This window comes from Homo sapiens, chromosome X (assembly GCF_000001405.40).
Source record: "Homo sapiens chromosome X, GRCh38.p14 Primary Assembly".
NCBI lineage: Eukaryota > Metazoa > Chordata > Mammalia > Primates > Hominidae > Homo > Homo sapiens.
Window position 1 is genome coordinate 17,001,642 of NC_000023.11, and position 13,735 is coordinate 17,015,376.

Below are 13,735 nucleotides of genomic sequence, written 5' to 3' on the forward strand. Positions count from 1 at the left end.
AATCAAGGGAATGTGAATGTGGACCATATGTTGTATGTTAGTCCATTTTCACGCTGCTGATAAAGGCATATCCGAGACTGGGAAGAAAAAGAGGTTTAATTGGACTTACAGTTCCACATGCCTGGGGAAGCCTCAGAATCATGGCAGGAGGCAAAAGGCACTTCTTACATGGTGGTGGCAGGAGAAAAATGAGGAAGAAGCAAAGGCAGAAACGCCTGATAAACCCACCAGATCTCATGAGACTTGTTCACCATCACAAGAATAGCATGGGAAAGACCGATCCCCGTGATTCAATTACCTCCCCCTAATTGTTCAAGTCCCTCCCACACACGTGGGAATTCTGGGAGATACAATTCAAGTTGAGATTTGGGTGAGGACACAGCCAAACCATATCATGTTGTATGATAATATTGTGTTAAAGTTGATTTCCTTGGGTGTGGTGATGATGGTGCGGTGGTGTACGAAAATATCCCTGTTCTTAGAAGGTGAATAGTAAAGTACTTAGGGGTGGTGTGTCATGAGGTGTGTCTGTAACCCACTTTTCAGATGGTTTGGCAAAATGGGAGGGAAGGAGGGAGGGAGAGAGAGAATGTGTGTGAGTTTGTGTGTATGTAGAATAGGTGATTCTGTGCATTGCTGCTCAGTTCTTAGCATAGCACTCAGCACATTGCTTTTGATAGGGAGGTGCCCAACCAAAACTTGTTAAACTAACAAGTACTTTAAGGTTTTAGTAGGATTCTCTGAAATCACACCTCAGCACTGCCTGTCTGCCCTCTCTTTAGCAGTGTCATTTGGCTTAGGCATATACTATAATGCCTAATGTTGGGTAATCAGATATGGGGGTTCATGTTTTCTTGAGTAGCTCACCCATGTCCCTCTGGACTGAAAGTCTCTCTTGAATGTTACAGTATAAATGAATGGGAAAGGAAAACCCAGCATAGAGGTTGACCTGCGTGTTCAGCTGTTCCCTGAGAGGCTGAGGTACAATTTGTAAGCATGTACTTCAGATTCTCTTCTGTATTTCTGTTGCTGAGTTTGCCCACTTGGGGAGGGTTGACACCTCCTGGGGCTGTGCTGAGTAGGAGGTGCATCTCTGGAGTTCTGACTGGCTGGAGCATCACTGAGGTATTCTCCTGGGCTATGAGGGCTAGGGCCAGGATAAAGAATGGTGGATGCCTTTCCTTATGCCTTGATCCTAACCGGTACCCTCTTAGCTGAGCAGGAAGGGAACAGAGAAATTAATATTCTCTTATATTCCTGCAGGAACTCTTATGGCTATATGGTGTGAGATGACTAAAGCCAATTTAGCAGCTACTTGTAAAAGTAATAAAAATGGAGGGGAAGAAGAAAGATTCTGATGCAACAGGCTGTGAAGACTAATTCAACATTTATTTATTGAGCTACTGAGCATATAGCAGGCATAGTAAAGTATGAGTCCTGGGGGATACAAATAATAAGAATATACCCTCGCTTTCTGCTGGGCACTTAGGGCATAGGGAAAGGAGATGGGCTACAGTGGAGATAATTATCAAAATACCAATTGTGCTGTGTTGCAAGGCTAGGGATGTGTTAGAAAGCTAGTAAAAAGTGTTATGGGAATGCAGAGAACATGCCATGTGGAATTGACTACAGTTTCAAAGATAAGGTTGGTCTTGAGGTGACTTGAAGAATGAGCCTGGCAGGCAAAGAAATGGGCATCTGGTGTGACTAAAGTCTTAATTAGCTGTAGGGTGGGGAGGAGAGAGACATGACGATGTTGGAAAGGTAGTTTGGGCCAGACAGGAGGGCCTCAGAAGCCATGCTTGGTTTCACAGGAAGGGCGTGAAGAGTCCCAGAAGCCCTTTGAAGTTGGAGGGTGATGTGGTTTTGATAAGAGGTCACGGAGGGAATGTAGAAGCTGGTGTGTGAAGGTGTGTGAGTCTGGAGACAGGACTTGAAACAGTCGAGGCGAGAGCAAAGAATCTGGATTTTGCTAGCTGCAGCAGAGGGAGAGTAGAAAATGGGGTGCTCTTGGAGAATTCTTCCAGCCCCTCCTACTAGGAGTTTTTACATTTTCAAATCTTTCTAAGGAAACCTTTAATAATACTTGAGAGAAGCTTATTTAAACCTTTGAACAGTTCTGAAAATGTATTACATTTCAGCCAGGAAAGAAAGTATTATTTCAGGCAAACTGGAACATGGTTACTCAGCACAGTCGCCTAATCTTATAGAATTAGGTAGGAGGGAAGCTATGTTAGTGGCCTTCAACCTTCTTCCAGAACTTTGTTCAGATTTCTCCCAAATGGTCGGTGAATTTTTCTGATTTGTATCCAGCATCCCAGCCATTTAGTGTACATCCGTAAGCTGTAAGGAAGTTGATTTAATCTATTTCTTTTTTTCATCTCTTGCCTTCCACCTGAGAAAACACTACTCCATAGGTTCTTATTCTGTATTAGGAATTTGCACAATGTGTAACCTAAGATGGATCCAGCTGGGAGTTGGATCCAGCTGGGAGTGTTACAGGTTTGGAGTTTAGACTAAAGAAGAGGAGTGGAATCTTTTCATTTTTTTCCCCTTTATTTTGAGGAAAGCCCAGTGATTTGGATTGTTTGAAGGATCAATTATATCAAATATCTCCACTAATTGAGTATCTGGGATAAACTTTTTTTTTCACCTTATTTTCTTTAGATACCATTAAGCATTTCGACCCACAACTTACAGCTTTTCCATGGAGATTTTAAACTTAGAAAACTTTGAACCTTGATGAATGAAAAAAACCTTTCAGAACTAACCTTTTTTTTTTTTTTTTTGATTCAGAAGTCCATGTGTAAGTTCCAAAGGCTTATAATTCTTTTCTCTTCCTTGAGGCTTGACTATTTCAGAACGTTCTTGGTATGTCTCTTGGAGGTTTGGTGTACAAAGAGCAAGGAAAGTAACCTATGGGCTTAACTCACTTATGTGTATATATTCTACTTTGGCTCCAAAGCAATGATTCTAGTGGTGATATGGGACCAAGGGACAGATTTCAAGGTAAATAAGGCTGTTTACTAATGTCAGATTAAGGTATTAGTCTTCAAGTACCATAAATGTTTTACTAGCAATTTCAGTTACCTGTAGTAAAGAGCTTTCCAGTTCCATGTGGTAGTTATGGTAAAGGAGCAACTGAAAGTTAACTTGATAGTAGATTAACACTCACTGAAAATATAGTTGTTATTTTTTCACATACCAAGGATTACAATGTCTTTTTTTTTTTCTATTTTTAAAATAGAGACAGGGTCTTGCTATGTTGCCCATAGTCTTGAACTCTTGGCCTCAAGCGATCTTCCTTGAGGCCTCCCAAAGTGCTGAGGTTATAGGCATGAGCCATTGTGCCCGGCCTACAATTTCTTAATATTAGGAGTTATTTTGCAAGACAACTATCTCAATGTTGGAACTACACTAATGTTGGTGTGTTTTTTTCCTTGTGTGGGATAGTCTGTATCTTAAGATGTGTAATGTATATATTCACAATAAGGGCTACATTATAAAATTCAGAGACATTTTATTTTTGAGGTAGGTTTCATTCACTTAATTGAGAATTTGTTGACTGTATCTTGGGTGCCTATCCTTATGCTAGGAGATGAATGGAAGTTGCCCCCTGCCATTGAAGAGAAGACATTTTAATGGGAGGCAGAGATAAACAGATAATTAATTATAATGTGATACATTTGGAAATAGTCACAAAAAACTTGAATATGGAGATTTTCAAAAGTACAAAGAATAGGATATTGAACCCTCATGAACCCACTACCAAACTTCAACAATTACTAACTCTTGGTTATGCTTGTTTCACCCATGTGCCCCACCTCCTCCCTTCCCCCTTTTATTTTGAAGCAAGTCTAAGACACTGTATCATGTGATGGACATTAATAGATACTTGGATAGAGTACTCTGAGAATACACTGGGAAAACATACTGTATCGGGACAGGGAAAGGAGCTACAGAAAAGTAACATTTGAGTTCAATCTAGGTGGGGAGGAGGATGTTGTTCCAGGTGATGGGATGGAAACTGACAATTATTACAATGTCTTGAAAAATGTGTATATACAACTTTTTTGTTCCTCTGAACTGAGCACCCAAGATGTAATTTCCAAGATTAGGAAATTGTTTTGCCTGAGGACTTTATAAAAATAATTAATTCACTTTTAATTTAGATAAACTAGAATAATCCATGAGTAGTGGTAATGACTAATCTGTTCTCTTTTCACCCCAGTGACTTTCTAGACTTTGAACATTAGAATCCACTCCCTGAAAAAGTCACTCTCCTTTGTAACTAGAGCAACAGCTATCCTTTGTCACCTTTATTTTTCTCTTTGGAAGAGGAGGAATAATCAGTGGCTCACTTCTGAAACATCATGAATAGGTAGAATTTAGTAATCTGAATTAAAAACCTCCCTGTAAACTGAAGGAAGAGGAAATTGACCAGTGGGCACACAGAGGTTCTCAAGGGACTTTTTTGGTTAGCCACTAGGTGAAATCCTTGATATTTCATCATGTACCTTGTCTCATTTTCCTGTTGTGAAATTGGGTGTTCAGCATTGTTTTTCTTGTCTGTTCTCAGATCACAGAACTGTGTGGTGCAAAGCGGGTTGGTTATTTTGGTCCAACACAGTTTTACATTGCCCTGAAATTAATTGCTGCAGCACAATCTGGCCTCCCGGTACGGATAGAGAGTATTAAATGTGGTGAGTATCTCACATTTGTATGTTTTATTGTCCATGGCGAGTCGCTCATTTATGAGAACCATTTTTAATGAGTTTAAACTTTTGTGGAATTTCTCCTTGCTTCCTCCAACTCTTCTGCAAAATAAAATAAGAAAACTTGGCAGGTAGGTAGCTTAGTTTCTTTCTTTTTTAAATGGGGAAAATTCTGAGAGTAACCTGAGATTAGTTCATTTTAACTGATTTGCAGTTAAAATAGATTTTATTCTTTAGCAGGAAGAGATTGGGCCAGGAATTCTAGAGCCTGTGGCAAATAATCACATTGACTTTAATTTTCCACTTGAGGTATCTATAATGTTATTGAAGGCTCTGTTAGAGGAGTAACAAGGGAGTTTGAGTGGAACTATGCCTTTTCTCTTTCCCATACCTGCCAGTGCTCAGCCTTTAATTCTTAGTTTCCAAAGCACTGTTCTGATGCTAGTAAGTACTTGGGTGCTACCAAAATTTTGGCAGAATGAATTTATCTTCTTAAGGTTCTGATTTAATATTTTCTCATCTTGCCATCCCTGCCCTCAACCCACTGTATGCTTGAGCACTTTCTACAATTTAAACAAAAAGCAAAACCCCCAACTATTAGCAGTATTTCTGCTGCCTCAGGATTGGTTTTAAAAATCTGTATGAAAAAGGTGATTATTCAAGGGGTGTGCCAAGGTCCTCTGATAATTCAGTTTGATACAGATTACTTTCATATGTCCATACAGGTATGTAGGAACTTTTTTTCTTTTTCTCATTCTGAGACTAAAAACCTCTTAACTGCTCATGCCTGTCCTGTGAAGTCTCTGATAGACATACAAGTGGATTCAGGATTTATGGTGAGCCCATGGAAACCTCGTAGGACAATCCAAATGGCCGAGAAGATTGCCATAGATGGCTGGCTGTGGAAGACCAAGCCCTTCACACTAACCGTTAGCAGGTGGCAGTCATCATGCTAATCTTTATCAGGGGGCTAGCTTGTGCCAGACACTTTCATTTAATCCTCATGACACCCTACTAAATTAGGTACTTGTGTCAGTTTGATTGCTTAGGATAAGCTGCGATAACAAATGTCACAATCTCAGTGCCTCAACCAGACAGAGGTTCGTTTTCCACTTTGCAGTGGGTCAGGGTGACCCTCCAGGGCAGCTGCCCTCTATGTGGTGACCATGTGATCCTGGCTGCTTTATCTTGTGGCACCTCCCAACACAACACCTGTTCCCATAATCGCCACACCAGGGAAAGAGTATCTCACCCTAGCGGTTAAATGCTTTGGCCCAGACATGACTGAAGTTATTGCTGCCCACACTGCATTGGCCAGAACTTGTCACATTAATCTGCTTCAGTGCAGAGCAGGTGGGAGAACACAATTCTCTCCTGTGCCTGCAAGGAGAGGACAACTGCGAGTCTCTACTATGGCTGCACACTGCAAGTCTCTACTATGGTTATGGCTGCACACTGCAGGTCTCTACTATGGTGCTGCCGTTGTTCGTATCTTACAAGTATGGAAATTTGAACTTTAGGGAGGTTGAGTAACTTACCTAAGAATATAAGGTTAGTAGAATTTGGAGCCAGGATCTACTTCCAGTCCCCATGCTCTTAATTTCTATGCAAAATAGCCTTGTCTCAATTTTTTCTATTTAGTAAGATGCTGACAGTAATCTGTTATACAATATTTTCTGAATGGGAAAAATATTGGACTTGAAAGGCATCTCTTGGTATGACAGAATTTTGTTCTTTGAAATAGGTTTCTTGATGGAGTGTCATTTGACAGGCAGGCTTAGTATTCATTGCTGCAAGACACAGCGGCCATTTGCTTTGATTAGTTGAAAGTTGCATCACACTGAATTTGGATTTGTGGTAGGCACTGATAGTTTTTATTCCATTGTAAATGATCATTAAGCTTTATTATAGTATCTTCCAATTTTATCTTCTGGAAAAGTTAGAGCTGCTTTATTGTATACAGAATAAACTTTTGACACTTTTGTTACTTATTTTAAGTTAGACCTAAGTCTTTTACCTGATTTGTGCCCAGATTGACAGTTTAATTTCCTGAGGGCAGGGAGCAGGATTGTTGAAGTTATCACTTGTGTAAAGGATTAACAGTTTATCACAAATATAAGGCTTTCTCAGTTTTATTTTATAAACCCAGTTGCTGCCTTTTACCTCTGAGAGTTTATATATGTCCAGAGTTAATTCTGAATTATCTTCCTTCACCACTCTCTACTAATCCATTTAAAGATTGATTAAATAAAATTATTTGCAGTTAGCATATGTTGAATAAGAATTAGGGCAAGATTGGGCCAAACTTTGAGCTGCCACTTAGAATTTTCCAGTTTGTTGCTTGAAATCTATTAGCTTAATGCTTGATGACACAAATCTTGAAGGCCAAAGGGATCACTCTGTGAGAACCTAATCTGAAAGGCTGTGCTAGCCCTGTCACACCCAGGGCATCATACCCAGGGAGTTGTGGATGGATACCCTTATGTCATGAATAACATGCACCTGTGTGTATGTGCGTGACCCTCTAATCCCTAGTCCTTCCCATTTCGGTAAATGCCACCACCATCCTCAGCTGCACAAGCCAGAAACTCAGCAGCCATCCTGGATTCCTCCTTTTCCCTCACTCCTTAATAGAATCCATCAAAAGTCCTAGCAATGTGGCTCCAATCTCACTCCCTGTTGCCTCTATCTCTTTGTCCCTGCTAGACCAGACAACCTTCATCTACTTACCTGGACACCACAATGGATTGACATCCTAGCCCCTCCTCTCTTCTCTACTGTGATCTCTCTTTTCCCACTGGTTTTTTGTTTGTTTGTTTTTTGACAGAGACTCGCTCTGTCACCCAGGCTGGAGTGCAGTGGCACGATCACAGCTCACTGCAGCCTTGACTTCCTGGGTGCAAGGGATCCTCCAACCTCAGCGCCCCGAGTAGCTGGGACTACAGGCATGCGCCACCACTCCCTACTAATCCTACTAATTTTTGTATTTTTTGTAGAGATGGGGTTTTGCCATGTTGCCCAGGCTGGTCTTGAACTACTGAGCTCAAGTGATTGGCCTGCCTCAGCAGCCTCCCAACTTTTTTTTTTTGAGACAGGGCCTCACTCTGTCACCCAGGCTGGAGTGCAGTGGTGTGATCACGGCTTGTTACAGCCTCTGCTTCCCAGGCTCAAATGATCTTCCTGCGTAGCTGAGACTACAGGCATACATCACCATGCCTGGCTAGTATATATGTCTTTTTGTAGAGATGGGGGTCTTGTTATGTTTCCCAGGCTGGTCTCAAACTGCTGAGCTCAAGTGACTCTCCTGTGTCAGCCTCCCAAAGTGCTGGGATTATAGGAATGAGCCACCATACCCAGCCTCTTTTCCTACTTTTGAAAGTGTGATCTTTTCAAAATACACAGCAGATTATTCCATCCTCATCCTTTAAACCCTCCAGTAGTCTGCTTGTTGTACTTTGTAAAACATTCAAAGTCCCTACACTGATCTGTAACACCCTACACAATCTAGTTCTTGCCTACTTTTCCATCCTCATCTCAAATCTTAAACCCTTGCTCACTACCTGTTCCCCAGTCTCAGTGGCCTTCTAGCCATTTCTGGGTGACTTTTCCTGCTGCAGGCCATATGTCCATTTTATCTTGCAGTCTTGGGTTCCTAGGGATCTGTTTTTCCTTTCTGCTTCCCCTGGTTGGCTCCTTCCCAACCTTCAGGATTCAGAGTCTGTCCCTACTATCCTACCTAAAGTAGTTCTGTCAGATTCATTAATTCATGAAGGAACCAGCATATGGTAAAACTGGCTCAAGAAAGTATAGAGAGTCAGATTTATTTATAGTCATAGAAAGAAAGGATGCTGGAATAGAATTGCTAAATTAGGTATAAAGCTAATTAACGCCCTACGGGGTAATACAAGTGCAGCCTGGCTATTGTACTTTTTTCTAAGATGAAAGTATTTGCATTGCCGTCAGACAAGAATTACTTGTTAGCTAACAGTTTTTTCCAAGTTAATATCTACCCTTTCAGGATTATCAAATGCCCAACCAAGAGTAAACAGTAACTCAGAGCAGAAGTCCATATCCCTAGGAAGTGAGGTGATCCTTGGGTGGGCCTGCTGGGTAATGCTTCTGCAGGGCAATCTCCTCCCCACTTTGTTCTTTCCCAGCATCTGTTTCCTGATAGCACTTAGCAGAGTTTGCAAATATTCCTTACAGGTTTCACTATTTTTTTTGTCTGTCTTCCTCACTTGTCCAGTTTGTGTAAGGGGGAGGGAAGAGGATCTGACACCCCTTGCATTGTGGGGCATTATAGGCACTCTGTGTGTATTGGTTGAATGAATGAATGAAGAGGTGCATGTCTACGCATGAGGAGGGTGTCTTAATCATCTGCCACTCTTTAATCTAAAACGATTGGAATTCAGATTCTCCTGGAACTCCAGAGGAGTTTTTACAGAAGTCATCTCAGTCTGCATATCATCTTTCTTAGGCACTGATTTTCAACCTTGTCGGCACTTGAGAACCACCTGGAGAGCTTTAAATATAAAATAAAAAAATACAGATGCCTGGGTCCATCTCCAGAAATTCTAATTTCATATATCTGCAGTCCGGTCTGAGCATCAGAATTTTTAACAGCTCTCCAGGTGATTTTTGTATGGAGACATGTTTAAGAATAAAAGCTGCATCAAGCATTTTTAAGAGCTTTGCTTAAACTGTGTGTGTGTGTGTGTGTGTGTGTGTGTGTGTGTGTGTGTGTAGTTACAGTAGCTGCATCTGAACTAGGGTGCTGTACGACACAGGGCACATGATTTAAGGGGGCACTTACTCTCAGGGCAAGTGCCGACTCTACATTTACACCACCCTGAGAGTGCGTGCCTCCTTAAATGTTGGCACTAGGTATCTCTCTAGCCCCACCCTCGTCTGAGTTGGGGTTAAACAGATGGCAAAACAGCTAGGGCAGAAGGAAAGAAGGTGAAAATTAAGGACTGGTAGAGAATTTCTGATGAGGAAATCATGTGGTGAACATTTGCCCTGGGACCTGCTGTTACCTTTCTTTCCAGGGTCTGAAGTTGAGCACGTGTGAGGACTGAGGGAAGGTTAGGCAGAACCTAGAGTAGGGTTTCTCATCATTTTTGTGCCAGGAGCCCCTTTGGCAGTCTGAAGCCTGTGGGCCCTTTCTCAGAATTATGTTTTAAATGCAACAAAGACATAAGATTATAATGGAAACCAATTATACTGAAATAATCACTAAAATAGTTAAATTGTTATATAACAACATACATGCTTCTAGGCCTGGCACAGTTTCTCATGCCTGTAATCCCAGCACTTTGGGAGGCCGAGGTGGGCGGATCACTTGAGGCCAGGAGTTCGGGACCAGCCCGGCAAATGTGGTGAAACCTTGTCTCTACTAAGTTCGAGACCAGCCTGGCCAGCATGGTGAAACCTTGTCTCTACTAAAAATACAAAAATTAGCCGGGTGTAGTGGCACATGCCTGTAATCCCTGCTACTCAGGAGGCTGAGGCAGGAGACTAGCTTAAACCCAGGAGGTGGAGGTTGCAGTGAGTCGAGATTGTGCCACTGCACTCCAGCCTGGGCAACAGAGTGAGACTATATCTCAAAAAAAAAAAAAAAAACCAACCCCCAAAACATATATGCTTCTTTATTAATGCATTAAATAAAGCATCTAACAGTGTTTGAAATAACCACTACTTTTTCAAATTAGTAATATGCATAAACAGTACTTCAAGATGTTGGCCCGGCATGGTGGCTCATGCCTGTAATCCTAGCACTTTGGGAGGCCGAGGAGGGTGGATCACGAGGTCAAGAGATTGAGACCATCCTGGCCAACATGGTGAAACCCCGTCTCTACTAAAATAGAAAAAAATTAGCTGGGCGTGGTGACACACACCTGTAGTCCCAGCTACTCAGGAGGCTGAGGCAGGAGAATCACTTGAACCCGGGAGGCGGAGGTTGCAGTGAGCCAAGATCACGCCATTGCACTCTAGCCTGGGCGACAGAGCGAGATGCCATCTCAAAACAACAACAACAACAACAACAACAACAACAACAAACAAAACCCTAATGTGATAGGTGACAAAGTTACCGGTATTGCTAGTGATAATACAGTGGCTTGTTGCCTACATTCATAATGGAAAGAAATGCTAAATTTCAGTTATAGTAGGGAAAATGAAGTTGTAATTTTTTTTTTTTTCCTAATCAAGGTGACAGACCCCGTGATTTCTTTTCACTAGTCCCTTTGGGAGCCTGTGAACTCTGATGGTGCAATGACATGATTCATGTAGTCTTTGGGGCTGTGTTCCCCAAACTGGTTTATGGTCTGGTTGCAGTCTGGCACAGTTTAGAATTAGGACAAAAGGATGAGTTATTTATAAAGCTAAATGTATTCAAATCTAAGATTGGGTTTTTTTTGGTTCCTCTTGTTAAGTGTCCTTTGTGAAACTGCTAATGGGTAATAGTTTGGGGTAAAATTCTTGACGAGATAAAACATTGGCAACTTTATGTTGGCTTTCTTCATTTCTTTTTTTGTTGTTGTTGGGGGAGAGATTTTTCCTATTTTGTGAAATCCCCAAATTTGTGAGCCACTGTTGTGGTCACGATTCTACTGCCAAGAAGATACTGAGGCAAATCATTGAATTCCCTTTGACTCCTCCCTTATCTGCAAAACAGTTGTTCTCCACCTAGGTGATTTCGTCCCTTTAGGGACTTTCGGCAAGGTGAGGAGACATTTTTGGTTGTCCCAGCTGCGGAAGGGGACTGCCTGGCATCTAGCCGGTAGAGGCCAGGGATGCTGCTCAACACCCTACACTGCAGAGGACAGGACCCCCTCTTCCAACAACAACAAACTTATCTAATCTAAAATGCCAGTAATGTTGAGACTGAGAAAGCCTTCTGTAAAATAAGGATCAAGACTTAGGAACTCTAATCCTGCTGCCTTGCTTCCTGTGCTCTAGTTAGTTTTTTTGTTTTTTTAATCATACAAGAAAGGTAGAAGGATTTTGCAGCATTGAGTCCTATTTCTGTGGCTTTTGTTTTCAAAGAAGAATTATTTTATTCAAGGAAAAATAAAAGCAGTTATTCTCTGGTTGAATTGAGGGTGGGGTTCCCTGTGCTTTGCCTATTTGACAAACCCTCCCTATCTCTTAGGGCTAGGAGAGAAATCTTTTGAGTGTGACAACCAGTTTGGTAATTCATAGAAAAGACAGGATAGGAAGCCCAAGGGTAAAGAAAGAAGCCCAGGAGGTAAGGTTGTAGCTGGCTCTGTGTGTGTGTGTGTGTGTGTGTGTGTGTGTGTGTGTGTGTCCACACAGTGTCTCTGTATTTTGAACACTAAATACTATGTTGGGATGTCTCATTAAGCTAAGGTCAACTCATCCTTTCTGACTGACGTCCAACCCAATCCCCCTTTCCTTTTTTTTCCTCAGTGTTCCTTTGTCAATTTCCTTTACCCCCTCTCCCAGCCCTGCTACAGGGACACAGAGCTGCTTTGGACAAAGTTCGCCTATGCAGGTTCACTGACTGTACGGCTGGACATTTGTGTTTTCTAGGGGTCTGTCCCTCTACCCCATAGCGCTGTCATTAGCTCTATTGTTGCTCCTCCCCAAAGGTTCTCCCCAACCTTTTGAGCTGTGGATTTTCACCTTATTTGTAAAAATCTTTGTTGTGGGATTCTTTGACAATCTAGTAAAAGCTCTGGATCTTAGCAGGAAAATACACATTGACATTATGTAAAAAATGTTGCCTTCAATGTCAGGGGTTTCTGGACCCCTAGAGCTGGTTCATGGAGCCCAGTGAAGAGCCCTTCTTCCAGAGAAATGCAGTGTATGGGATGGATATAGAGGAGGTAAGTTGGAAGATGCATAGTGGGGAAATTGAAGGCCAAAGAGGTAAAATAAAAGGGATGCTGCTTGCTAGCAGCAGAGCCCAGTGGATTGTGGACCTCCTAACTCACTCCTGGGGTTCTACCCGTGGTATGGCCAGGAAATTGAACTTATCCACCATCCTCCTCTGCCAAACATTTACAAGATCACCCTTCCCATTGTAACCTCCACCCCGCCATCTAGCGATTACCTACCCATTTCCTAATTGACAAGAGGTATTTCAGATCAATGGGCAGATAGGAGGATAATAGGAGACTAGATAGCTTTGATTACTCAGGCCTGGGTTGATAAGACTGGCCTGATTTTTTTTTTTGTTTTGTTTTTTGTTTTCCCCCAAAGTAACTTCAGGAAAATGTGTAGGGATGGTTTCACTTTGGAATTATAGAACATTATTGTCATAATTCTTTGTTAACGTATAAGTAGCTGGTATAAGTGAATAGGTAACAAAAAGCAGTGGGAGAGAAGGGAGCCAGCAGTCAGGAGTCAAGAATTTTTGTTACGGTCTTAGCTCTGCCACTGTATTGCTGCATGACTAAGGCAAGTCTTGCTCTCTCTTTCCTGGGCTTATTTCCTCACCTGCAAAATGCAGACATTTGAGCAGGTTTTCTCTAGATTATTTTCTGAAATGCCACAGTTTCATGCTAAATGTTCAAATCTGTACTAGAAAGAATTTTAATGTTCAGGATGGTAGTATAGCCTTGTGGCTGGGAATGTAGGTCCTAGCAATAGGCTACCTCATTATGAATCTTTCCTTCATTACCTTTTATTTGTGTGGCCTCCGGCCAGTTTCTTAATTTCTCTGTTTCAAATGACTCCCTGGAGGAAAAGGTATACCAATAACACCTGCCTTATAGACTTGTTGTAAGCACAAAATCAGGGAATCCCTTATCAAACATTGTAGAAAAGCATCTACAACTTTGTTATTTAATATCGTAGCCACTTGCCATGTGTGGCTATTGAGCACTTGAAGTGTGGCAGTGTGGCTAGTGTGACTGAGAAACTGAATTTTTCATTAAATGATTTAAATAAAAGGTTTTAAACAGTGTAAAATATTTTCTGTTAAATGCAACCTTATTGATTTAGTAGGACCACTTTTCACTTCAACCATCAAATTCTGTAAGACAAGGGTCAAC

The 13,735-nt window shown here is 41.6% G+C and overlaps 1 protein-coding gene across 17 annotated transcripts in view; it reads left to right on the plus strand.

The window, feature by feature from the left end:
* REPS2 (RALBP1 associated Eps domain containing 2) overlaps positions 1-13,735 on the plus strand; it is a 249,998-nt gene that overhangs the window by 54,984 nt on the left and 181,279 nt on the right. For all 17 annotated transcript variants that reach the window (XM_017029956.3, XM_011545603.3, XM_011545606.3 and 14 more), the window contains exon 2: positions 4,580-4,703. In XM_017029956.3, coding sequence (XP_016885445.1) covers positions 4,580-4,703 — 124 coding nt within the window. The remainder of the gene's footprint in view (positions 1-4,579; positions 4,704-13,735) is intronic.